This window comes from Homo sapiens, chromosome 4, assembly GCF_000001405.40.
Source record: "Homo sapiens chromosome 4, GRCh38.p14 Primary Assembly".
Classification (NCBI taxonomy): domain Eukaryota; kingdom Metazoa; phylum Chordata; class Mammalia; order Primates; family Hominidae; genus Homo; species Homo sapiens.
This window is the reverse complement of record NC_000004.12, coordinates 176,305,503-176,333,161: the sequence shown is the minus strand read 5'-3', so window position 1 is coordinate 176,333,161 and position 27,659 is coordinate 176,305,503. Positions and strand designations below refer to the sequence as shown.

The 27,659-nt window shown below is 37.5% G+C and overlaps 1 protein-coding gene and 1 long non-coding RNA gene across 2 annotated transcripts, besides 4 other annotated features; one reads left to right on the top strand and one right to left on the bottom strand.

Moving 5' to 3' along the window:
* Positions 1-916: 916 nt before the first annotated feature.
* On the bottom strand, positions 917-13,196 carry SPCS3 (signal peptidase complex subunit 3). Its single transcript, NM_021928.4, has 5 exons — positions 12,943-13,196; positions 10,919-10,992; positions 8,905-8,981; positions 5,885-6,000; positions 917-4,964 (listed from the first exon to the last, which is right to left on the bottom strand). The coding sequence occupies exons 1-5, from the start codon at positions 13,083-13,085 to the stop codon at positions 4,832-4,834; spliced, it is 543 nt and encodes a 180-aa protein (NP_068747.1). The 5' UTR covers positions 13,086-13,196; the 3' UTR covers positions 917-4,831.
* Positions 12,483-12,562: a silencer, noted in NCBI's record as "silent region_15817". NCBI's record gives its function as "represses an Ori minimal core promoter by ATAC-STARR-seq in GM12878 lymphoblastoid cells {active_cell/tissue: GM12878}" and the evidence as "EXISTENCE:reporter gene assay evidence [ECO:0000049][PMID:35858748]".
* Positions 12,593-12,662: a silencer, noted in NCBI's record as "silent region_15816". NCBI's record gives its function as "represses an Ori minimal core promoter by ATAC-STARR-seq in GM12878 lymphoblastoid cells {active_cell/tissue: GM12878}" and the evidence as "EXISTENCE:reporter gene assay evidence [ECO:0000049][PMID:35858748]".
* SPCS3-AS1 (SPCS3 antisense RNA 1) lies at positions 12,652-25,204 on the top strand. Its single transcript, NR_186171.1, has 4 exons — positions 12,652-13,017; positions 21,579-21,674; positions 24,695-24,894; positions 25,195-25,204. It is a non-coding gene; the product is annotated as an SPCS3 antisense RNA 1 (long non-coding RNA).
* Positions 12,783-12,902: a silencer, noted in NCBI's record as "silent region_15815". NCBI's record gives its function as "represses an Ori minimal core promoter by ATAC-STARR-seq in GM12878 lymphoblastoid cells {active_cell/tissue: GM12878}" and the evidence as "EXISTENCE:reporter gene assay evidence [ECO:0000049][PMID:35858748]".
* Positions 12,885-13,385: an enhancer, noted in NCBI's record as "H3K27ac hESC enhancer chr4:177240928-177241428 (GRCh37/hg19 assembly coordinates)". NCBI's record gives its function as "activates a minimal SCP1, AML or CMV promoter by ChIP-STARR-seq in primed H9 embryonic stem cells {active_cell/tissue: H9 hESC(primed)}" and the evidence as "EXISTENCE:reporter gene assay evidence [ECO:0000049][PMID:30033119]".
* Positions 25,205-27,659: the final 2,455 nt, after the last annotated feature.

Below are 27,659 nucleotides of genomic sequence, written 5' to 3'. Positions count from 1 at the left end.
TACTAATCAGTCCCTTTACTTCTCAACTCTTAGGTGCCTATTTCCAACTATACTCAACAGATACACAAGTGGAATGTGTATAAATTATGCACATGAAAAGGGAACACTTCAAAGCTCCTTCAAGCTTGAGGTTTATTTGGATATAAAGGTATACTTATTAAAGTGGTAAGTTTTCTTTTGGTCATGGCAACTCATTAATCAGGCAACAATTTACTGAACTCCGAATTCTTAACACTTCACTGGGAGAGAGGGAAAAGGACAAGAGAGTATGAGGAAAAACGTTTAAAAGAGAAAGTTCTGGTATACACTTGCCCAGGTTGAGAGAAAACAAAATAAAATGTAGCTGACCTCTTTTATCATTCCTGGTAACATACACTTAGGTTAAAATCCCTTACCCTCTAAATGCAATGATTTTCTGTTGTTTTGAGGGGGTATTTCTGTTTTGATTGTCTGAATTCACTAGTAAATAAACGTTCCCTTAGTGAGCCAGACCAGCCAATGTGCCCAAGAAGCTGGTGGAGGATCAGCCAACACCCTGGCCTTTCAAAGAGTCAGCTATTTGTTTTAACCCATTTCTTCCTGAGCTATACTTTAAACATGCATCCTGAGTTTTTTTTTTTTTCTTGATCAGGTCTACGGTAGGGTTTTCCAGTGTTATTTCAAAGTAAAGCAATTTATGTATCAATCTTATCACTAGCCACTATCACTTGGCTCTCTTAGCAAGTCAGAAAGAACATAGGTCACAGCAACTAGAGCAAGAGCAGCATTTACCTTTACTGAACTGTCCAACTGCCCCTGATAAGATCTAATGTCATTAGGAGCTCAAGAATGAAAAAAAAAAAACAGCACTTACAAAGGAGGACGGTATTAATGACAAAGAATCCCCATGGTTTGGTCACATTAGAAACACAACGCCTTCATTCTTCATCAATATTTATTGGGCGCCTATTATGTGCAAGGCACTACACTAGGCGCTGGGGAAGATACAAAGATAAATCTGACAGACTGCCCTCAAAGAGCTTACAGTCTAGTATAGGAGCATACAGTCTCTGGAGAAGATATTTTAAGTGTAACTAACCTCCCCCATCCCACCCCCACAAAAAAAAAGAAAAAACCTACTAGACTTGGTTTCTTCCATTTACTTTTAGTTTAGCAGCTTCACGTAAAAAGCATAAATCTGAAAGTCTTTTAAAATGCATACTTTTACTGGTAAACAAAATTCATTTTCATTAGAAAAAATGCTGAATATTTATTGCAATTAAGAAAAATCTTCAGCCGGGCACGGTGGCTCACACCTGTTATCCTAACACTTTGGGAGGCCGAGGCAGGTGGATCACTTGAGGTCAGGAGTTTGAGACCAGCCTGGCCAACATAGCAAAACCCCGTCTCTACTGAAAATACAAAAATTAGCCGGACGTGGTGGCGGGCGCCTGTAATCCCAGCTACTCCGGAGGCTGAGGCAGGAGAATCGCTTGAACCTGGGGGGTGGAGGTTGCAGTAAGCCAAGATCGCGCCACTTCACTCTAGCCTGGGCGTAAGAGCAGATCTCCGTCTCAGAAAAAATAAAAAAATTTAAAAAGGAAAAGAAAAATCCTCAAACATATGTTCAGTATTTTCATGAATTTTTTTATGAATGACTACATTGTGAAGTAAACAATTTCCCAAATTGCATCAAAAACATGCAACAATTTTTTGAAACATCTCTTTAAACTACTGAAAGTCACACATGTAACATATACAGGCTTCTCTCTGCTAAAAGCAAGGAAAGTTTTGAAATGAATATATGCTTGTTTGCTACCAATGTTCACAGCTCATGGTTTTCCCCCATGAACCCACTTCATGTCAATGCAAAGTATTATAAAATAATACCTCCATTGACATATACCCGAAAGATCCAAAGCTCTAGATCTCTAAGCTTCAGATAGAAAAAAAAATAGTGAAAAATGTTCATTATCAATTAATAGCTGGGCTTTAAGATTATCATCTTAGAGAAAAAGCCCAGCTTTTCATCTCTAAGATGAAATCTTTAAAAAGCCCATCTATCATCTCTAAGATGATAATCTTAAAGCCCAGCTATGAATTGGCTGACGAGACCCACCAAAGAACTGTAAAATAATTCCAGGAAAGGAAACTCAAAACCCACTTTCTTATTACACCCTTAGGAATTTCTGAAGTTTTTGTTATTTTCCTTTCAGAATAAAGAAACCAAATGTAATCAATCAGGGGAATAAAAAAATACTGATACAGATGTTTGTCTAGGTTAAACTGTTAGAGAAAGGGATATGTGAACACATTTTTAAATTAATTCATTTCTAACCATAATTACTTTTAAATAAGTGTCTTCAAATTATTCTCTTTTCTCAGAATCATTTCTGGGCTCAGGTATTTCTAATCATACTCAGTTTTGTATAAGCCTGAAGCTTTGTGTCTTTGTAGAACATTATGAGACTTCTTTAAAACACTGAGACTAAAGCAAATGAACTGGTTATCAAACTGAACACAAGTCAATTTTTTAAATGTAGAAACTGCACCCAAAAATGAGTTCCTGAGACTGAAGGTCCTTATTCCCATGTTGGAGCATTCTTTTTCTGAGCAATTTCCCTTAGTCAAGCAAACAGAAAACTTTCTCCACATTGTACTAGTTGGGCATTTTTACTTATCTTCCTCACCAAACTCCAAAAAAAGTGGGCTTGTCAAATAACTGTAATTCAAGTAAATTTCAACATTAATCTCTACCAGACTAACAGATCCACTCATCACAGAAGTATCATGAACTGTTAAACTGGTACCAGGTCTGGTTAAGACTGCAGGCTTATCGCACATGCCTTTAAAGAGGACACACCTGATTTTTAAGCTTTGACACCTGCACATTTTAAGTTTCCATGTCTAGTATTTGTACAAACTAAATGAGGTGAAATTTTCAGAGTGTAAAATCTAACAGAAATAAAGTAAATCAATATGAGTTATGTGTTAGACTTTCATTCGTTTTCCTGTCTTCATATTACTAACGTGCTTTTTTGTTCAATCTCTTTGCTGAACAGATAAATTTTATCAACTTGTGTGGTGTAAAAGGATGGCCATTAAAGTTAACTGGTCCAACTCTGTCATTTTACAGATAAAGAAACCAAGACCCTGAAAAGTTTAATGAAAAAGCTGGGAGCCAGGCAGTTTAGCATTCAGGTACCTTTGACCTTTCTGCTGGTTTGAAAAACCCATACCCACAGGCTTTTGCATGAACTATACAACTCCACACAACAGATGTTAAAATTAATGTAATTAAATAGTGATGTATTTCACATAAGGTAAATATAACAAATGTCTGTAATTTAAACTATTCTTAGAAAATATTAGCCCTTTTTGGTCACTGCTAATAGTGTAACTACAGTGTTTGGTCTTGCTTTTCTAAGGGTAACTGATTTGCAGTTGCTACTTTGAGGATGTTTATTTGTCCACTGCAGAAAAAAAAAACATGTTAAATACGATCATGTATTCAATCATGTATTATGTACTGAATTTCTAAGTTATTTTTACATACATGTAGATTTCCTTATGCTTTTAATATAAGTGAAATGAATTTATTCAGAGAATAAAATATTACCTCGATATAAGTTGTTGGCAGCTTGAAAATTAGTCACTTCCATATAAAATGGGAAACCTTTTCTAGAATAGAAAGGGTGTCCAGGGTAACAAAAATATCAGGAAGGTTTTAAGTAAAATTTGATTAGTCTGCAATCTGAGGTATAAGAGAAAGGATGAGCTCAGAAAATTAGAAGATCTGAGTTCAAGTTTTAATTCCACTCCTTGCTGGCTAGGTAACAATGAAGCAATTCAATAAACTTCTGGGTTTCAGTTTCTTATCTGCAAAGAGCTAACACTTATACTACTTACCTCATTAGATTATTGAGGATGACATACACTAAAGTATATGAGTGGTTTGTAAATGGAAAGCATACCACAATTATTATTATCCCAATAATTATTAAAATATAGACCTACAAAAAGTAGTAAATAATTCACTTAGTGACAGCAGGCATGCTCACTAGAAGAAACATAACTCAGAGGGTAAACCATGCAAACATTTTAACTTTCAATGGCAACGCTAAAAAAAAAAGTACAAAGCTATAAAGGAACGTTTTTAGAGAAAGCACTGAAGACACACATTTTGCTGACCTAAAAGATTTTAAAATGAATTAGAATAATTTACATCATATAAAGAGGTATTTAGTCTTTAAGTGGAGAAAGTTGCTAGTCACATGTAAGAAAAACAAGTATTATGGGCCTTCCTAAGACAAATGGAATAAATTCCATCACTTTTGGCTTTTTTATAAACCAGACTTCTAACAAATAACCATATTAATTTTCCAGTAATCAAACATATCCTAAAAGAGGAAAAAGAGAATGTCTACTTTTAAATCACATCCAATGTGAATTTGCGTGAATGCAAGGCATAAAATACAGTTATTATGACTCTACAGGCACCTGAAAGTTTTAACTACCTTTCATGCTTACTTTATATTCCATAAAGAATAATGGAAATACAGGGAATACTTCAAATATGTATTTTTTACAAATCTGTTTTATGTAGTTCTTATTCTTGTAAGATAATATTCCACTGTGGCAGCCTTGTTTTTTTGTTTTGTTCATAATATTAAGTAGCCCATTAACCTTTCCCTTTAAACAGGCCTTTTGATGTTAGTTCTTATACCAAAAAAAAAAAAAAAAAAACCCAAAACCAAAAAACAAACCAACAATACATGAAGATGTAAGGGAAGAGATTAATGAGATACAATTCATTAAGTATAAAAATATGTTGTTTCAAATTCAGAATAATTTAATAACTCTTCGTTATTTCATATGTATCTGGAAATGGGACAGATACGTGTCCTGATCCTGTCACAAGAGGTAGAATTCCAGCATTTGGTACGACGTTCCAAGACAGGGTCAAAGTGACATTCCTGTTTCCCCTATAAAAAGATATAATAAACACAAGTCATCAGAGACACTAGTAGTTCAAAAAAAATTTTAAGACAAACACTGAGATGTCAAATACTTTATTTATAACCATCTATTCCTAACAGAAATCCTAATATGTTAATCTGCAAAAAGAACTATTTTCTCATGTCACTTAAAATCCAAGGACAATGCTAGAAGACAGGGGCACTACATTTACTGATATCCCAGGATGACCCATCTAAACTCACAGCTGCAGTTAGAACCATCAACCGAAAAGTTTAAATGATTAAAACAGTAAATGTAAAAAGAGACGAGCTAAGAATCAGAGCAATGATTTGAAGCCTAACTCTGTCAATTATCTAGATGGACAAACCTTAACAAAATTCTCATGTTCTGAAATTTTCATTGCAAATACAGACGTTTGGCTTGGTCGAAATAGCTTTCTTCTAAAATTATTTCCAATGTTTACCACTAGAGTCTAAGAGGTAAAAATAACCTGAGAGATCAATCACACTGACTAAAATGAGCTTTAGAGAAGTCACGTTTGGAGAACCAATACTACTTCTTTTAACTATTATCAACTCCTAGACCCAACATGCTGCTTCTAAGGTTTCCCGACTCACGCTCAGAAAGGAGCCCTTTGATTTGACCACCACAGCCCTACCGCATCTGAACAAGCCCGTATTCCTTGTACACGCTTAGGATAGAAGCTTTATTAGTTTGACTATGACATTTCAGAAACTGCAAGAGAATTGCTTATCTTAGATCTCACTTTGCATTTCCACCCAATCTTTCAGTTCAGATATGCATAAATACTTCTTTCCCAATTTTTCTCCTTTTACTCTCAAGTATTTTTCTTTAAAATAAAAATACATCTTTCTCTCTTTTTCACCTCTTATTAAATGTAAAAAAATGACCAAGAATTGCTCACTTGAGACCATTTCCATCGTCAAAGAAAAAATATTTTGTTTTCATATCTTTCAGCAGCAGCTTCGGATTATCACCTCTCAAAACAATCTTGTCCCATAGGACAACTTGGTTCAGAGCCTATATTAAAATGAAAATTAATTAGATAACTCATCAGAAATACCATCTTATCACTTCAAATTAAAAGTATTAGTAAGCAAATAGTTTGACATGTTAATGAATTCAACTTGAGGAGCTTGCTGAAATCTTAATGCATACAAATGATAGCAAAGAGAGAGATACAAAAAAGGGGCAAACTTTTCTCAGAGAGAAGAATGACAATTCCCTGAAGGAGTTCATTCCTTCTGCTAACTCAACTGTATTACTTAGTGCCTTCATAACTTAATGCAAGGTTTTTGATCTATAAGATCTCCAAAAAGTGAGGCCTTTGGAGGAACAGATGAATTAAATCCCTAGAAGGGAAGTATTCTTTTAAATCACTTTTCCCTATAAAATTTCTAAGACCCTCCAGCTCAGCATGGATCCTAAATGGTGCCAGGAAAACAGACAAGAGCCAATCCCTGTTCCATCACACTGCTAATACAGGTTACTGCTGATTAATTATGTCATGAAAATTTATAAGAAATCTTCTCCAAGATTTCTTTACAAAAGCTTTAAGAAATCACTAAAGAAATGAAGCCTTTTAAAGATCTTTTTTCCCTTTAATTAAGAAAATACATGCATTGTTGTCTCATCAAGGCAAAATTCTAGAGGTCAGACAATTCTTTTAAGCTACTCTTTCAACATATTACAAATAAGTTCCATTTAGAAAATTAAAAGTATGAAATGGAAATAAAAAAAATTTGTGGCCACTACTAAATCCCAAGGAATTTGCTCTTATTAAGTTAGCATCTATTCGCTTTTAAGGCCAATTACTCAGTATATGATGACTACATTAACTAAAAAGAAATGTAGAGCAGTTATTTCTTCCTTTTTTTTTTGGAGATAGAGTCTTGCTCTGTCAACCAGGGTGGAGTACAATGGCACAATCTCAGCTCACTGCAACCTCCACCTCCCAGGTTCATGCGATTCTCCTGCCTCAGCCTCCCAAGTAGCTAGGATTACAGGCGCGCACCACTACGCCTGGCTAATTTTTTGTATTTTTAGCAGAGATGGGGTTTCACCATGTTGGCCAGGCTGGTCTGGAACTCCTGACCTCAGGTGGTCCACCTGCCTCAGCCTCCCAAAGTGCTGGGATTACAGGTGTGAGCCACTGTGCCCGGCCTGAACTAGTTTTTTAAATCACAAATTATAATTCATAATAAGTTTTATAATTAAAAGCTATTAAACCATTATATCAAAACCTATTAAAACTATTAGTTTATGATTGAAAGTTATTAGCATGGTGGTGGGTGCCTGTAATCCCAGCTACTTGGGGGGCTGAGGCAGGGGAATCACTTGAACCCAGGATGTGGAGGTTGCAGTGAGCCGAGATCATACTACTGTACTCCAGCCTGGACAACAAGAGTAAAACTCCGTGTTAAAAATAAATAAATAAAAACAACAACAACAACAAAAAACCAGTTCAAGTACTCAGATACTCAGATTAATGAATCCCATGCAACCCTAAAACAAAGGCAAATTGTTCTCAATAGGTAAGGATATTAATTAATTGTAGCTATATGGCTTAATGTAGACTACCAAAAACACCTTGCACCATGTTCTTTTTTTTTTTTTTTTTAAAGAAAGGTATCTGGTACTAAGATGGATTTTAAAATAATCTCAGAAGGTTTGAAAATTATTAACAATCTTTACAGCTTTTGATTATATATAGTCATAATGAGAATTATAATCACAGGTCTCAAATTTTGTTGATTCAAGTAGGTCACCATGCAGCTCTCTAATTGCAGCTGTGGAGAGAGAATATTTTAGCTTAAAGAGTAAACAACGGCCGGGCGCGGTGGCTTATGCCTGTAATCCTAGCACTTTGGGAGGACGAGGCATGCGGATGACCTGAGGTTAGGAGTTCGAGACCAGCCTAGCCAACATGGTGAAACCGTCTCTACTAAAAATACAAAAATTAGCTGGGAATGGTGGCAGGCGCCTGTAATCCCAGCTACTCAGGAGGCTGAGGCAGGAGAACTGCTTGAATCTAGGAGGCAAAGCTTGCAGTGAGCTGAGATTGACGGCGCTACTGTACTCCAGCCCGGGCTACAAGCACGAGACTCTGTCTTAAAAAAAAAAAAAAAAGTAAAAAAAAAAAGGAAACAGCTGAGTGGTGGCAATACTACCGGCTACCCACTCCATTTCCTAGTTGATAGTTCAGCAATATCTTTCTGATCTTACTATTGTTAATTAATATCATTGACAGTGTCTCAGCCAAGTTATCAGATCTATCTAGGTTGTCTTTGTGTTTTTTTAATCCTTCAGTGTGACACAGCAGCTCAGAAGAGGAATACAAGTATGAGCTCCACCATTTTCCTACTGTTTACATATGCATGGATTATTAGCATTATCTTCAATCTGTGATTTCTTTGCAGAAATCTTTTTAAGCCACTTTTCCATTTTGAAAGGATTGGCTAAAATTTTATAATATAATCCACTTATGTATTGCATATACTGCAATATTTTACAACATGCTGAAAGCAAATGAATAAATACTAGGTAGCATGGTGAACTTCTTGACCTACAGAATTCCTCCTTTCCTCCAGAATATCTGCATATTGTAGAAGGCATGTGCCCATCTATCTGACTTAAGGGCTGAATATGAACATTAACGTCTGTTCATATAGCAAGTCTCCATTCTGGAGACCCCAATGCTAGAGAGCTAAATAGAACAAACAGAAAACAAACAAACAAACAACAACAACAACAAAAAGGCTCCCAAAAGATCAAATGTTTTCATAACACAGCTACCTCCACTGGCTTGTGATGTTTTGCTAGGTAACTCAGGTCAGATATTTTAAATATATAAAAATGTGTATTCTTTCGTAAAGAGTAAGACTTTAAATAGCTATTAAAATACTTCTAATTAGATATACTTACATTATTTTTTGTTGAATATTCTGCTGATAAATAAAGAAACAACTGCTTAACATTCCAATCAAATATATTCTCTAGATGTAAGTAAATTAAGGAAAATATAAATTTATGAGCAGTATATCACTTTTAAATAGATCTTAATTATTCTTAGGTTATTTATCCATAACAGTAATACTAAAGTAGAAAAGAGGCGGCCCAGAAACATAATGTGCCACTAATTTAATAAAAATATGCAGAAGATAAATACATTGTGAAATCCAGCTTATTCCAAAACAAAAAAATGTCAGTATGAGATTACTGGCATCCTCCCATACTCCTCCAAGGATTACTAGCTGAGATACTTTGACTAGTAAGAAAAGAACAAATCCAAAATTTGGTTTTCTGTAACATCAACTAAGTTAAAAAAAAAAAAAAGAGGACTCGATATTTCAAGCAAATACAATTCCACTGGAGCTCTAAAGTATAAACAATCACCACCATTTAAATTTAACAATATGCAAACATAAACAAGGCTCAATAATTAACCAAGTATAATAAATTGTACATGTCACTTTTGGTCACATGCAAGTAGACATTAAAATGTCTCTCAAAGATGCAAATGACACCAATGTGGCTCAATTCAGTCTCCCAAAGAGGACAAGAACTTCACCAGAATTAACAAGACTGGTGCCAATACCAAGAAATAAGCGGAGTTAATATTTGGATTTTTAAGTATTATGTTAATTGTTAAGTTAACTCATTTTACTATATGAGTTTCCACACTGGTAGTAACACATTTGTTACATTCCATTATTAATTATGTGTAACCACTAAGAATCACTCCTTTAGAACTAAGTCTAGGACTGCTGTTTACAAGAACAGCAACAATTTCAAGTAGTAGTAGCAGCAGCATTAAGAAAATCTGAAGAAACTACAAATAATGAGATTGGTAATATATAAATACCATAGATACCAGGAAATTTCACTATAATTCTCTGGATACACAAAATTACTACCCTCACAGTAGACCTAAATTCCCTTAAGCAGATTTTTAAAAATTACACAAAGACTTAAAAATACACATGAAATTCAGCATAAGACTCTTCCGATGGTACACTCTATTTCCTAAAAAGGTACCTACAGAACTAATTCTTAGCCTATTTCTAAATCCAATAATTACCAAAACTTAAGCTAAAAGTAAATTTCATGGTCATAGAAAGGCAAATTAGATAAATTCCCCAAGTATATGATCAGCTTTAACTGTTCAGACAGGTACTTTCACACAAGTTCAGATCGTTCAATCTCCACAACCATTTAAATCACGGGGTATTAAAAAGGCAGATGAAATCAGGCTAGAAATGGCAGAGAACATTGCCAAGATATTAACCTAAGAAAGACCCTAAAAAAGACTAGCCTGGCCAAAATGATCAGAGTTGTCAAAAGATAGAAACTCAATCTCAAGAGAAAATATTTAAATATCACCACCAAAGAAACTCTTATAATTGTTAATATTTTCTGACTTTTATAAAAGTCCTTATAAAAAGAGTTATGACGGCAAAAAGCAACCACAGGTTACCAATAATTTTGATATGACCTTTTCAAATCATAACACACGTAATTCACTTTTTAAACATATGTTTCTCTCTGCTATAATAAAATATGGATATATTATTTGAAATTGTACATGAAATATTCACAGGCAGGCTGAGCATTGGTAATATTTTTCCTTCTTATCCAAATGATCTAATTTTATTTTTTCTTTCTAAAATACAGATTCAAACTTTCTTATGTAGTTTTCAATCAATTTAATGTTTCGGTTAAGAATTTAAAGTATGTTCACACAACTACTCATGAATCTATGAAGTTTTCTCCAAGTGTCATGGGGAGGTATTAACATTATTTTACTGATGAAAAAGGCGGAATTTCCAAGGTTTGGCTGATTCAATGAGATAGTCACACTGTATCCCAAATCATTAAACAACACATATCTCATTATAAAACTACAGAAAACGCAACGAAATATTTTCTTAAAGGATATCAGCAGTTATATCAAATGTGATAAATCCCAGATCACTTCTTTCTCTAGGTCCAGTGAAATCTTCTACATTTTTTCTAGGAATAAAGATAAAAGTTTTACCATCCTTCCAACAGAACATACACAATTCACGTAACTTCTTAAAGAGAAAGAATACAGGTGTGTGCATAGGTGAAACTGCAATTCCACAAAGAAACGAGTAAACACCAGAGAAACCTGTAAGTGTGAAAACAGGAGAAACATTCTAATCCAATATTAAAGTAGGTCTTCAGCTAATTGCATATACCTCAAGAGAATCCCTAACAAAACTCAGAAGGGGATAAAAACTGCTAAAAAGAATAGTAAATACTTGATGTAAAGCAATTTTGCAGAATGGGTAGAAGAAAGCTACACATGACTACAAGGTGATACGAATACTAACAGATGGCATATTAAAGGGTGATACAGTAATCACCCCCTTATCCGAGGTTTCACTTTCCGGTTTCAATTATCCGCGGTCAATCTGGTGTGAAAATAGGTGAGTCCAGTAAAATAAGTTATTTTGAGAGAAGGGGAAAGAGATCATATTCACATAACTTTTATTATAGTATATTGTTACAGTTCTATTATGTTATTGTTAATCTCTTATTGTGCTTAACTTGTAAGTTTTATCATAGGTAGGTATGTATGTACGGTATAGGAAAAAACCAAGTATATATAGGGTTTGGTGCTATCCGTGGTTTCAGCCATCCACTGGGGGTCTTGGAACGTATACCTACCCCATTAAGGGGATACTACTGTAACCAGCTGCTATTTACTGTTTACTACGGCTCAGACCCACTGACAATATTTTTCACATTTCAAATAATTCTCACAACCTAAAAATTAGGTATTACTTCCATCTTAAACAAAAAGAAATTAAGGCCCAGAATGGTAAGAAAACTTGCTCAAGACAACAACAGCTAACATCTGTTCAGTGTTTAATATGCACCAAGCTCTTCTAACCCTCACAGGGCTGACAATGGCAGTGCTGATGTCCACCCCAGGTCTATTCGAACAATATCTAACAAACATCAGTACAGTAATTTAAAAAAAAAAAAAAAAGGTGGGGGGAGAAGGCTCGCTATTTGATAACTGGCTTCTTGGCGATTCTGACAAAGAAATAAACTAAGGTTAAAGAACTTGTGTAAGACGGAAATAGAGTAGAAGGGTATGAGAACAAGAGATGGAAAAATACGACGATTAAAGACAAAAGTGCCAGAGAATAAAATCAAGGACAAAATAGGCAATAGCGAAATGGCACTGTCATTTCGAACTGCATTTTTTGGCGTTTTCGCAGACTTCTTCAAGTGGTTGGCAAAAGAAAAAGAAATAAAGAAACCCAACAAAACAAAAATCTCGCTGTATCAGAAGGCTAAGATGCTTAATTCTCTCAGTGCCCAACATCTCTGGCCAACTTCAAAGCAGCTCCAACTGTTTACTGCCTTCTGAAGGTGCAAAGGCAACAACTGTAAAGGGAATGTCAAACAGGGCAAACTCGGGTGATGAATGACACAAAGACAACCCCGTCCTGTGGCCTCCAGAGCCGCCAGGAAACCCCACGGAAGCCCGACCCAGAGCGCGGCGGCAGCGCCTGGAGGGCCTCGCATGCGGACCACGAGCGGCACCGGACGCGCGGGAGGCGCCAGCCCAGGCGGGCGGCGGCGCCGGCTCTGCTGTTGTGTTGCTCCCTCATTGGCCAGGCGTGGGTGGAGGGAAGTGAGGAACAGGAAGCAAGCGGAGGCACCGACCTGAGGAACGCTCAAAATTAAAATTTAAGAGCAAGCCCGGGAATTTACGGTGGAGGGGTGCAAGTTCCGAGGGGACGCCGGAAAAGCCTGCGACGTCCACCCCTGACGACCGCCCTCGGGGGCGAACTGCCGCTCAGGAGGGCGATCCGGACGCCCTGCCCGCGGCCCCGGCACGGCAGCCCCGGCGCGGCGGCCCGGCTTCGGCTTCCGCCCCAGCCCGGTCCCGGCGTCCTGCACCGCCGGCCCGGCCTCACTCACAGCATGATCCGCGAGACGTGCAGCCGCACCGGGACGCTCCTGTCTTTGAAGGCGGTGGTGATGAAGCAGCCGAAGGTGAGCGCCGCCATCACGCTCAGCGAGAAGGCGAACAGTGAGTTCGCCCGCGACAGCACCGTGTTCATCGCGATCGTCTCCCACGAGTCCGGACTCCACACGCACACCCAGGCTCCCGTTCCGGCGGCGGACCGGCTCCCTGCGATCCGCGCCGTCTGCGGTGCGCGCGTTCCGGGAGCGCGCGCCGCCGCAGCCCCGCCTCCTTTCCGGTCCTCCGACGCGAGCGCGCGCGCGCCCGCTTCCCGAAACACACCCACAGCGCGCACGGGGCGGCGCGGAAAGGGAGAGACTCAGCCGCGGGCCCGCCCCTCCGTCGCGGCCTAACGCCGCCACCAATCAGCGACGAGTGAGGGAGGGGCGGGGTTTGTTGTGGAAGACCCACCCCCTCCTCTTCTAAATTGCTTCTCCGACCTTTGGGTTCAGAGAATTGGGAACCGGTCGTTCGCTGTCCTTTTTCGGTTCTTTGGTCAGAGGTCTGGGACTGCGACTTCTTGATTACTTATGTACCATTTATTTTCACTTGAAACCGGCAGCAAGTTAAGGTGGTTTAGAATCTGTCCTGACGGGTGGCGTTTGGAAGCAGCACTTTACAAAACGCCTGGTCCTCTCCCTTCTTTGTCAAACCTGGTCAAAGTTAGGACTTGAGCTTTTTTTGGAGGATCTGAGGAGCAGTGGGGAGTGGGGAATTAGCCGCCCAAGTCCTTAAAGCTGTCACGTGCATCAGTATTTCCACCTCCAACGTCAGTCCAATTCCTATTAATGCTTTGCTTTGTATGGATAGCTAAAGATGTTTTAGAAGATAAGGGTTGAGGCTACCGATCCTAAGTATTTGCATTTTAACATGGTGATTTCTGATAAATAAAAGGATAACCTTTCTGGGTTCTTAGGAGCAAAGAAGATAATGGCTGCGGAATTGCTCTACAGCATAATGTATAAGAATTTCGTTGGGTCATTAATAAATAATGCAATTATTTTATCACATTTTCAATATCCTGAAGGGCATTAGGGTTCAAACCGAGCCAATCCTGACTCTGATTATACTATCTGCCAAAACCTTTGTTCCTTTCACAGCTAAGGGTTTTTATAAAAATGGATTCAGGGTCTGCTGAAATAAATTTTTTTTAAAAATTTCAGTCCATAAACCAAACAAAAATATCTGTCCTGGAATGTGATCAGGAACAAACCAGAAAACTGTGAACATCTGATCTTGATACTGGCTTATGTTGTCTCTTGTTAAGCTTTTGCTTCTTTGCATTATTCATGACCATTCAATTAATTTTTGTATAGCCATACAGGTAGGATTATTACCAAGTGCCTACCGTGTACCAGGAATAGTTCTAAGCCTTGAGAATACAGCACTAATAAGGCAGACTCCCTGCTCAAATAGAGCCAACTAATGAAAAATCGATAAAATAGAGACTAAAGAGAGATCCTTAGTTGCGTTTAAAATCTTAGTTTTTAACTTCCAGGCTGGCACAGTTTGTTAACAAAAAAAGAAAAAAAAGGATTTTTATTGAATGCCATCTATACTGCAAGTGATACAGAGATTGTACTGATCACTTTCTACACTCAAAAGTATATAATCAGGTAGAGTTAATAAAATAAAAACAAATCTGAAATGTAAAACAAAAAAATACCCTGGGAAGTTACATAGCAAAGGAGGAAGGAATTACAGCCCTGGTAATGTGGGACAACACAGTGTGCAAATTATTTAACACAAAGCCTAAACAAGACACATTATTATTATAGCATGTTTTAGGGAAATAATTCTTGTTGTTGAACTGCAAGTACAGGTATATCTAAGAGATACTCAGAAGGCTGGTCCTGATAAACAATGCATGTATAAAAGAGTAAGCAGAAATAAGCCTGGAAAGGTAAGTTATGGTAGAAAACCAGGTCAAGAAGTTGACTTTATATCAGGGAAATTACATGTAAAACAAGCATCGCTACACAGGCAACCATTTACCAGTTATATGTGGAGAGTGAGTGATGGACCCAAAAGGAAGACTGATAGGAGGGGCATTTCGGAAACAAACTCTATGTTACTTAGCAACTGCCTAAATAAGAGTGGGGGTCTGCAAAGCATAGAGTGAATGCAGATTGTGAACACTCAAATGAAACTAGTATTATTATTATGACACCACAGTTTTTAACTTGACTTACTGGTAGTGCTAAAAACACATAAAAGTCCACAAAAAGAGCAGGAGAGGGATGGGATAGGGAATTTTCTTATTCTGTTTTATTTTTCCAAGTGTTTCTTTAGATTTTCTAGACATTTATATCACCTACATTAGATATCATTTTGCCTTTTCCGTTCCAATTATTATATTTCCAATTGTTTATTCATTTCAGTAGCTAATATTTCCAACATGATATTCAGTCAGATGGGGACAACTGATATCTTTTTGTTCCTGATTTGAGCAGGAAATTTCCTTTCATTTCTCCATCAAGTAAGATGTTGGCTTTGAGATGGAAATTGTGTGTGTGTGTGTACATGTATCATTATATAATATATATTGCATATTGATAGGAAATATCTATTCCTATTGGGAAATTTTTAAAAATATAAACAAGTGCTAAATTGTTTTCAGATGCATTTTCCCTATCTTATTTCCTCTACTTCTTTCCTCTATCTTATTTCCTCTGCTTATTTAATGGGTTATATGAATAGATTTTATAATATTGGCCCAGTAAGCATTCCTGGAATAAACTCCACCTGGTCATGATGAATTAGTTTTTAATATGCTCTTGTGCTTTCTTTGCTAATTTTGGGGTTTTTTGTTTTTTAGTTTGTGTAATCAATATTCATAGTGAAACTGATGTGTTTTTTTGATTGTAATATTATACTCAAATTAGAAAATATATATTTCTAATATAACAAGGAAAATAAGTTTTCCTTAGTTTTCTGTGCACTGGGATATTTTAAGTAGCATTTGGATCTGGTCTTTAAAAATTTGATAGAAAATTTGGTAGAAATTCCCAAGGGAGTCTATTCTTCTATTTTTTTTAAATTATTAATTGTTAATTCTAATTATGTATACTTGTGCTTTCTACCTTTTTCATTTATTGTTTTAATTAGTATTTTTTCTTGTTTTCTTTCAAAGCACTTCTGCATTTACTAATTAACTCTACTGTTTTCCAACTCATTAATTTTTGGTTTTAACACTATCAACTTTTTTCATTCCACTTTTTTTGTTTATTAGCTTTGGAAATTGGATATTTAGTTGGTATATTTTTCATGTTTATTGTTATGGTAACTGCTTTAGCTGTATCCTAAAATTTCTGACTATGAATTTCCAAGAGAAAGTACCATTTTTCCTTTTGATTGCTTTAAATTAATGTCTGATTTTAAATCATGTAGGCAGAGAATGCTGTTTGTATATTTCTATTCTTTGGATTATTGAGGTCTTCTTTGTGGCCTAAAATGTCACTTTTGTGAAAATTCAATGTGCAACTTGAAAGAAGGTATTTCCTCTTAATAGTATATAGAATTTGATAGATACCTATGAGATCTGCCTTATTGATTATGTTATTTATGTCTTTTACATCTGTAGTAATATTTGTTACCTTCATTTTCTTGGATTCTGAGAGATTTGTTAAAATCTCCAATACTGTGTTTTGTCTGTTTATTCTCACATCTCCTATAGTTTCTCCTTCACAAAAATTGTTGATATATTATTTGGTAAGCAAGTATTAATAATAGTTACATTTTCATTATGAATGGTAGTCTTCAACATTGTAACGTGTTATTTTATTTTTAATGCTTTTTGATGCAAATACTACTAGTCAAACACTGAGGTTGTACTGAAGGAAACTGAGGCTGTTTATCTGAAATAGTATTACAGACCTTAAATTAATACGTAGCATTTTTAAACTAAGTGTCTTGTACTCTTTAATGATTTCAGCTCAGAACCTAGTGGCAGTAATGGGGGGAGCGATTGGCATGCTTTGTCAGCGCTTGAGTAAATAGCGATCAGCTGGGAAAGACATGCCTAACTGTATTTCTGAAGGATAGAAAGAAACCTAGAATAAATGTAAAGTTTTGATCTTCATATTTGCAAATAATTATTCTTCTGTAACACCAAGCTAAGAAGAGGTAAGAACAATAAATCACTTTATAAGGAAATCTTTAAATAAAGCTGTGTGCACATGGCCAGATAATGCTTTTTAAAAAGGGGATAAACTGAAAGATATAATAAAAGCCTTCTTTTTTTTTTTTGAGATGGAATTTCGCTCTTGTTGCCCAGGCTGGAGTGCAATGGCGCGATCTCAGCTCACTGCAACCTCCACCTCCCAGGTTCAAGTGATTCTCCTGCCTCAGCCTCCCGAGTAGCTGGGATTACAGGCGCCCGCCACCACGCCCAGCTATTTTTTTGTATTTTTTGTGGAGACAGGGTTTCACCATGTTGGCCAGGCTGGTCTTGAACTCCCGACCTCAGCCGATCCGCCCGCCAAGGCCTCACAAAGTGCCGGGATTATGGGCATGAGCCACTGCGCCCGGCCAATAAAAACGTTCTAATTAAATATGGTGTTATTGGGAATATCCAAAGAGTCCACAAAGCACCAAGCTCCCCAGGGAAGTTCCTGCAATGGAGCATGTTATAGATCTAGCACATTAAGGACTCAAATGGTTTTCAGAAAGTGACTATGAATTATGTTGTTCATCATAGAGAGTGGGGATCAGGTCTTGTTCATTTTTCTATCCCTTTCAGTGCCCAGGACACTGAGCCTTGCACGTAGTAGATGGTCAAAAAAATTCTTATTGAATTGAGATACCTTGAAATCATAGATCATGATATTTTTGAAAGAATTCTCATGTAAAGCATATATGTCACACACAGGTAACGAACAGTTAAAGTGTAAATGGGTAAAATGGTAAAGTGTAAAGCTAAATTGAATATGTAGGCCAAGGACAAATTGTAAAAGGCTTGAGTGCCAGGCTAATAAGTTTGATCATAATTCAGGAGACAATAACGAACTTTTGAGGATTTTAGATCAGTTGAGTGTCATGACCATGTAGGCTCTCAGTAGATAAGTAATTTCTTTGAGACGGATGCGACTGCCAGTTTGTAGACCAGGCCAGAAGTTATTGCAGTAGGTTTTTGTTATAGTTGTTGTTTTGAAGATACTTGCTTGGTTAATCGAAAGATATAATCAGTCAAGCTGGTAAGTAGACTATTCCAGTGTGATAATTCCAGGAGTGCTATGTTTGTGAATCTCTTTAAAGAGGAAAAAAAAAAAGTTCAGAAGGAAAACCAGTTTTTGGCTAGCAGGTACCCAAATTCCAGACTCTCAAAAGGAAAGGTGGGACATTATGTGAAGATGTTTGGCATAAACCACATCGTGGACAGTTAGTCACAGTGAGCCACTCTTATCACTTAGGGAAAGTTTCCTATCAGTGCGGGGAACTGTTTACCAGCCATGTTCCCAGACACCAGCCGAGGGCCAACCTTGCATACAGGTTTTTCTAAGGATCGATATCTCAGGCCTGTTGCGGTAGTTTAAAAACATTGCTTTCAGGTCATTTTATTTCTGTTGAAAGCTTTTTTGAGAATGATTCCTATAGCACATAAGAAAATGTAAGAATGTATTTAAATTTTTATTATAGTATATTTCCTTCATTTATTTTCCTTTTTTTAATACTAAGTTTGCCTACTCAGCTCAGATCCCTTCAAACAGAACTATTTTATTCACTCAGTAGACCATGGAGAACTTATAAAAAGCCCATTGTCCGCCACAGACCTCTAAGGATAGTATTTCTCCAAGCAGCTTCTCTTCCTTTTGTTCTCCCATCACTGTCACTCTTTTGCGTCTTGGCTTTTCACTCTAATTCTTCATTCCCATCTCAGGCCCTCCTTTCTCAGACTTGCTATTTGAACCTAGCTGTTGAACCATGTTTCTAGCCCACCTGTAGGCACTTGACCCTGAGCTTGCTTGAGCAGTTAGCTCATGAATTCATAGCTGCCTGGCCCACATGCACATGTCAGAATCATTTATTGTGCATCGTTAAGAGCAGAACCAGATAGCATACCAGAGATCATTGGTTTCCGAGAATCTGTACCTCACCCTCCCAAGGAAAATGGACAAGAAGCCCTTCCATATTCTCTAGACAGTCAAGGACGTCCAAAAGTTATTGGGATTCTTTGAACAGTTTTAGCAGTTAATATTCAGCTTCTCTGCTTATATTATCTGGACAACTATCCTTTTCAGGAAAGTGAGAGAGTTTGCTTGGCTCCTTGTGAAGCCTGTAGCATTCTCGTAGTTAACGAACCTAGTAAATTTTTCTGTCTTCTTGGCCTTTTCTGACTCACCCACAAACTCACTGCTGAAACTATATCTCTAATATGCTATCGTGAACATCTGGTCACCAGAGAACCTAGGTTGTAATTTGTATCACTGCATTTTCATTCTAAAGAAACTAGTCCCAGCTGAGGTTAATGGACCTGTGAAATCACTACCAATATAAATGCTGGCTTTAGGGAAATACCTGCTACTTGAAGTCAGGCTAATCCCCATTTATGATACATTAAGACAACTAAAGCTCTAGAATAAATAAGGTCCTATATGGTGAGTTAATTATTTAACTTGAGTTTTTTTGATTATAGGAAAGTTTCTGGATTCCCATTTGCAAACAAAAGCAGCTATATCTGAAAAGGAAACAAAGAGGGAAAATTATTGTGGGAACTGTGTAGAAAGGAGTTAACAGACCTGAGGCTTCTGTTCTTAAAAAAGACCTGCTTGCAAGGTTGGCTCTTGGCTGGTGTTGGATAACTTGGCTGATAAACAGTTTCCTACACTGATATAAAACTTTCCCTAAATGATAAGAATGGCCTAAACTGTTTGTAGAAACAGTGTGGTTTATGCTAAACACCTGCCTTCCTTCTGGGAGTCTGGAATTTTGGTATGTGTTAGGCAGAGGGTGCTTACATTGCCACCCCTCAATGAAAACCTTGAGCACTGGTTAATGAGCTCTTTTGGCTGATAACTTCACATAAATCTGTTACTGGAGGAACTGAGCACATCCTGTGAGACTCCATTAGGACTCTTGGAAGTGTGTGCCTGGTTTCTTCCAAACTTCTCCTCATGCACCTTTTCCCTTTGCTGATTTTGTTTTATATCCTTTAACTGTAATACCCCTAACTGTGAATATGATTATATATATATTTCATCCTGTGAGCCCTGCTGGTGGGTTGGTCTTGGGAACCCTAAACACAAGGACTACCTCCCATTTCATACATTTTCATATTCAGAATGTCGTAAGGATTTCTGCAGAGCCAAGGGAAACTTAGCCCCATCCTTTTCTGTAATGGGAGGGGTATTATTATTATCTTTTTATCCTAAGTCCTATGAGTCATCTCAGTCTTTTGTTCTGGATGCCATACTGCTCACACATTTTGACGTGCTGTACCTCAGTTTTATTCCCCCTGACACTTAGAATCCTTGTCTTCTGCCCTCTAGTTCCCAGTTACCATCTGAGGCTCTACCCGTCATGTTAACTCACATGGACCCATTTCCCTAGGTTTTTGATCTCGAGTTATTTAATAGCTGCTCAGTCTTGATTTTCAGTGTTCTGCTTGCACACATATACCCAGAATTGCAAGGGAGTATGCTTTCACCTCTTGTTCTTAACCATTGAGGCACTCAATGTCTTCATCAGCTTATCTGACCTCCATGTAAAGGGAATAAATCAGGCAAAATCCACTATTAGAGGTCCGTTCTTTCTGTGGACCTATTGCCACTTTCATGCTCCTTACTTATATATATAAAGCTGAAAAGAATTTAAAATCAGTGTATGAAAGAGAAGGTTAGATGAGCCGTGCACACGTTTTTATCACTGAGAATACCTACAGAGTTAAAAATTCATATGCAACTCTATTATTCCACTTGGTAACTTAAAAAATGTATAAGGAAATGTCCGAATCTTTCATGGTTTCCTTTGAAAGGTCTATTCTGGAAAAAAAAAATGTTTTAAAAGAATTCATTCATTTTAGATTGTGGGTGCTGGAGAATATGGTTTTTTTTTTTTTCTCATATTACACTCTGGGAACCCTTATATTGGAAGAAAGTAAAAAGTACCATTCAAGTGATGTGGGTATACTACTAAAACTGAGATTTTTGAAGCAGAAATTCTGCTTCAGTGACTGAAACGTGTCAGATTGTGGGACTATCATAAGGTATATGATATTCTAGGAGTGGGTAGGGAAGAAAAGAACTCATAGCCTGGCATGCAATCTGGTCATAGATGCTAAGAAAATGATCTTGGGCACACTGATTTTGTCATATAGACAGGCAAGATTCAGTGCCCAAGAGTGGTGCAGGGCAGTTGTAATTTTGGCAGTAATCAGCATCTGAGGTAAGTTATGCGTGAACCCTGCAGATATCTTTCTGCATTTATGTCATTCATTTGTGTGAGACATGCTTCACTGTAAGTTACCATATTTAAAAGATGGTCAGTTTTGTGACAGTTTTCCTGGAGGTGATTCCAAATGATTCTTGACATGATTATCCTCAGAAAAAAAAAAACAGTAAATCAATCATTTCTTCCTTATTTTCTCAAACAGGGATAAAGAAGAAATAACCTTTAGTCAACCCACCAATTACATTTCTCCATTTTCAGTGTTCATTGAGCCATTGGATATAAATGTGAATACAGAGAGGTACATACATGACACTCGCACTTCTCTGTTTAACACCTTAGAGTTTACTTACAGTCCTTCTACCAAGCCTAGAATCAATATTTTTAAGGCAAGAATCTTTTTTTTGTATGTTATATAATATAAAAGTTATTTAAAGGTTTAGGGAGAGAGTTGTTAGAATAAAACACATAGATGATGGAGATCTGGAAATACATCTGGACCATTTCCATTAAGTCTTAGAGAAATAATTCTTAGTAAATCTTTTCTCCAGAGTTGCATTTTCTAGGCACATAACCTTGACATATTACATGCTCTGATTGGGCTTAGTTTTCTGATCATAAGAGAAGAAACCAGTGTTGAGAAACTTACAGTAGAGACAATATCCAGGCATTAGGCAAGTGAAGGCTAATGTGTGTCCATAGAGGGTATAGGGTATTAGTACGTATTCGGGGCAAGACTCCCAGGGTAGTAAGTTGAATAATCTGGCTGAATTTAGAAGTAGAGACCATGGCAGACTCTCAATTCAATATAAGGTGGGGATGACGGCAATGGGAAAGAAAAGTTGCACTTTATGAGCACACATGGCTACTCACTGAGGAGACTCAAGGAGCAAAGCTGTCATAGCTGGGCTCCCAGATTCCAGTGAAGGATCGTTAATTAATTATGCTGAACTCTAGAGCACAAGGGCATTGATGCTGTTGATATCTGCCTTGTGATAGTCAGGATAGACTAAACAGCTAGAAAATTGAAGCTTTAGTTAGAGGGAGAAGTCAGGAAGTCATGGGTCGTAACCATCAGAAGCTGAGAAACAGAGGACCAGGGGGAGAAGATACCAGGGTGGGAGGGCAAAGATTAAATGCCTATTTTTATTTCCATTTTAAGACAAAGTATCCATGATTAGGTGAGGTGAGTGAATTAAATCTCAGAAATTTTAAAAATAGGGATATTTATAAATCTAAAAAATACTCAAATAAATAAAAAGATGAGTTGCTTTTAACCCTCCCAATTATTCTGTGAACTTTATCAAATTTTAAAAATGTATTTTCGATCTGTGTGTGTATGAATTTTTAGTTACTCTATAATTCAGTGAGTAACATCTAACTGCAAATGATAATTTAAAATGTTTTAAATTCAGATAATTTCCTATTATTGAACCATTCCAACTATTCATTCTGTATAACGTAGAGCAGCTTGTAGTATAACCCTTGGCCCACTGATTAAATGCATACTTTTTCTGCTTACATTATATAAACGATCTATCATAATACCTGGAATAGTGTAGGGACTCAATAAATGATACCTATTTAGTATTACCATTGCTAAAAGTTAAAAAAAAATCTGAACAAAGTTTTTGAAAGTGAAGACTTATATATTTTACCAATGATCAATGCCATGGTTACACTTTTTTTCCTAAGCACCTTATGTAGTAATTAATCACATTTAGATAGAATGGAGAACTGAGATAAATAATACAGTCATGCATTGGTTAGCAACAAAGATATGTTATGACAACTGCATTGTCAGGCAATGCCATCATTGTGTAAACATGATAGAGGGTTCTTGCAGAAACCCAGATGCATAGCCTAACACATATCTAGCCTATATGGTATGGCCTATTGCTCCTAGGTTACAAACCTGTACAGCATGTGACTGTACTCAATATTGTAGGCTACTATAACACAATGGTAAGTATTTGTGTATCTATATATCAAAACATAGGAAAGGTACAGTAAGAATACAGTATTATATATGTAGTCTTATATATTACATATATGTAGTCTGTCCTTGACTGAAACATCATTTGTGGCACATTACTGTAATTAATGTCCTAGGTATATAAACAAACAGTAGATGAGACAGAAATGACATTAGAAGCACACCTCAACGTGGAATAAAAGACTTTAGAGATTACCTGTAGATATAAACATATTATTTAAATTATTAAAATGACAGGTTTTGGGGCTTTGGGAAGAGGGTATAAAAAGGAAAACTTATCAAGAAACATGCCCTCAGGAAGAAAACTGTGTGCCTAAAAGCTAGACGTGAATAGGATTGCCATCTGCAGATGAGAAGGCAAGGCCTCCAGTGTTTGGGAAGACATCACTTCAATATTGTAGTGTGACAGAAGAGACTGAGAACTATTCTAGTCACATTTATGTAGTCACCACTCCTGTGATGTCTGAGTGAAAGTAACAGCATGACCGCTGATGCTGCAGCTGTGACTGTCACCTGGGCACTCAGCTCTGCAGTCGTTCCTTTTAAGACCAAGCTATAGCTCAAAGTAGTCCAATATTCAAATTTGAGGTCACACCAAAACTATAAGATAGATCTTTGATGTAGTTGAAATAATGAGTAGTATATGACAAAATCCTGCAGAATAAAAGAGAAAATGACTCCCCAAACTGTCATTCATTACTTCATGTGGCTTCAATGCTACCTTTAAGGAGAAGTGATCTCTTTGAATGAGCAAGGCTTATTAGTCAAACATCATTTTTATCATAGCTACCATTTACTTACACACCTACTGTGTGCCAAGCATCGTGCCAGCCATTTTGTTTCATTCACCAGGTATACAATAAATTACAAAACAAATCTAGACCCAAAGGTCATGGCTCACAGCCTAGCAGAGGACATAAACTTCAAGCAAGTAACAAATGATTCAAAATTATAATGAAGGCTATAAAGGAAAAGAAGAGGTTACTAAGTTAAATTATAACAGATGGAGTGTGTAGGGCACCTGTAGGGAATTTCGTTAACATGCTTTCAGCTACAAGGAGAAGAAACTCTGAACCAAAGTGGCCTGCGCAATAAAGAAGTTTCTTCTCTCGGTAACTCATGGAGAGCTGGTGGTTTCAGTGGCTCAACCATATTATCAGGTGCCTGGGTTCTTGTTTTGGCTCTGCTGTCCACAGTATCAATTTCCTTTTAAGCCTGAGTCTTTTTATGGTTATAAGAAGTCTCAAAAAAAATTAGATGTTTATTTTTCTCTCACTTAAAGAGTTGCAACTTGGATTTCTTGTCTTCTTGGTCATGTCCAGCAGGAGAGGGAAAGAGGAGTATGCTAGGACTGAGTCCTTCCCTTCGGGCTAATTGGTGCACTGTGGCAGAAAGACTGCTAGTTTTGCATCAAGATCCATGATCCTAAGTTTTCAGTGGGGCACAGAGCCACCTGGAACAAAGATTACATTTCCCAGCTTTCCTAAGAACCAGGTGTGCCCTTTTGACTGTTTTGGCAATAGAGGTAAGTGGAAGTGATTTCTGGGCTATATTCTCACAAGGAAGGGGTGTACCCTTCCCTGTCCCTTCGTGCTTCCTGCTGCTGCAATGTGAATATGATCTGAAGATCTACAGCCACATGTGAAGGTAACAAGGCAATATGGACCCTGAGTGCTTGACAGCTATAACACCATCCCGGCCCCCGGCTGTCTCCTTCCTCACTTCTTTTAAATGAGGGACAGAAATGAATTTCTGTTTCATTCAAACCACTAATTAGGAGAGTTTTCTGCCATGTGAAGCTCCAAACTAATATATTTTCCTTAAGTCATTGCCCAGGCAAGGCTGGGTACAGTGGATCACACCTGTAATCTCAGTGCTTTCCGAGGCTGAAGCAGGAGGATCGCTTGAGCCCATGAGTTTGAGGCTGCGGTGAGCTATGATGGCACCTCTGTACACCAACCTGAGCAACAGAGCAAGACCCTATCTCTGAAAACTAAGGTTGTTGGCAGACAGAGGAATGCCACGGCTGACCGACTTCTTCCTGTGAGTATTCTTCCCCGGACTAAGGTTGTAGTTACAGAGTTTCTCAAGTGACAGAGGGTGTGTGAGGGACAGCTGGGCAAAATCCAGGTACAATTGAGAAAAAAGTAGGGAAGGGTTGCTGTGTAACTGGCCTACAGAGTGTGATCACTACAGAGATTATTAGTTAACCAGGCAAAGAGAGAAGAGCTGAACAAGATAGACTGAAAGTATGTGTTGGGTCCCTGAGCAAGAATGAGCTTAGCGGTGGGTATGTTCAAAGAACTGGAAGAAAGTCAGTAGGATCAGTGAATGGGGAAAATTGAACAAGATGTGGTCAGGTGATGCAGGGCCTTCATTTATCGCCAAGGTAACTGTATATACATGTTTGCCCAGAGCTGTCCTAGTTTTACCATATTTTCCTGGAAAAATTGTAATAGCACTCCCTTTGACTTCAAAAAATGTCCTGGATTGGTTAATAAATTATAGCATTATACCACAAAGATAGTCCATGTTAAGGAATTTGAACTGTATTCTAAACACAGTGGGAAGTAGTCTTTTTCCTTATTTTCTATTAGCGGATATCTTACTATCTCAAACTTTATCATCTAGCTACTCTTTCATTTCTTTCCCTAGGTGAACCTCTAGAAAGTTCTTCCTAAATTGCCCCAAGGGTTATCCAGCCTCAAAAGAACAGATAAAAGCCTATTTCTGCCTTTTCTGAGTCACGTGATGTTCTCTATAAGATTGCTTCTCTCTGCCTGAATTTCTCATCCAGCAATCCAGTTAGGCTGTAAGCAATCTTGCTATGTTATTATAAACTCTACTCTGTGTATTAAATATTCTTGCTTATGGCACTTCTTTTCAAATCTTTTCTAACTTATTTTGACTGATCTTGTAGCCATCCAGTCTGCTGAAAATCTGCCGGCTGCTTCGTGACCTTGAGCAAGTTTCTGAACCTTTCCTTGGCCTCTTTTCTTATTTGTAAAATTGAGCTACCATAGACTGAGTGGCTTAAACAACAGAAATTAATTTGCCACATTTCTAGAAGTCCAAGATCAGGATGCCTTCAGGACTGGTTTCTAGTGAGGCCTCTCTTCCTGGTTTGTGGAGGGCTGCCTTCTCACTGAATCTTCAGAGGGCCTTTTCTCCATGTGCACTCAGGGAGAGAGAGGCCTCTTAGGTCCCTTCCTTGTTTTATGAGGACACTAGTCATACTGGATTAAGACTCACTCTTGCTGGGCGTGGTGGCTCGTGCCTGTAATCCCAGCACTTTGGGAGGCCGAGGCAGGTGGATCACGAGGTCAGGAGTTCGAGACCAGCCAGTTCGAGACCAGCCTGGCTAACATGGTGAAACCCCGTCTCAACTAAAAATACGGAAATTAGCTGGGCCTGGTGGCATGTGCCTGTAATCCCAGCTACTCGGGAGGCTGAGGCAGGAGAATTGCTTGAATTTGGGAGGCGGAGGTTGCAGTCAGCTGAGATCACATCACTGCATTCCAGCCTGGGTGACAGAGTAAGACTCCGTCTCAGAAAAAAAAAAAAAGACTCACTTTTGTGACTCAACCTTTACTACCTTTTTATAGGCCATACTCCAAATACAATCACACTGAGGGTTAGAGCTTCAATGTATGAATTTGGGGGGGTGGGGACACAGTTCAGCTGATAATGGGGTATTAGGGGTAATAAATGAGAAACTGCATGAAAAGCACTTTTAGAGTTTTATATTCTTTATTTCTATATATAAGATATTCATTGGAGAATTAAAATAGCATTTAACTACAAGTGCAGCTACTATTTAAAACCTAAAGATGATGAATAAGATGAATATAATTTATAATAAAATAGCAACATTGCATATATCTTAACTGTTTTTTTTTTTTGTCTGAAAAAAAACTTGCAATATGAGTTGGTTGCTTTATTATGCCAGAGTGTAGGGGGATATTACTTTATACAAAATGACTTGGAAGAAAACAATATCTTTGACACAAGGAATACTAAGTATATTTGAAAGAATAATCTAATACAAACAATAATGTGTGATTATTGTCATTATCTGTCAATTCAGAAAAGAAAAATAACTTAATTTCTAGTGCTTTCACCACAGCTGACACAGTTGTGATCTATTCAATCTCGCTATTTTATTATAAACTAGATTTATCTTATACATCGTCTCTAGGTTTTAAATAAATGCACATGAGCAACAGCTCATGGACACTAACATGCAGAACCAGGTGACACTCCATCATATTTCATCATAACCCCTGATTT

Bases quoted from the DNA above. Each gene is read 5' to 3' on its own strand.
- SPCS3 (NM_021928.4), bottom strand. From the start codon at position 13,085: ATGAACACGGTGCTGTCGCGGGCGAACTCACTGTTCGCCTTCTCGCTG. The intron at 8,982-10,918 runs ATATCCTTTAAG...TAATTTACTTAC, and splicing joins CACATTTGATATAACTGCTG to ATCTAGAGAATATATTTGAT. The intron at 6,001-8,904 runs GTAAGTATATCT...ATTTTAATATAG, and splicing joins AATATTCAACAAAAAATAAT to GCTCTGAACCAAGTTGTCCT.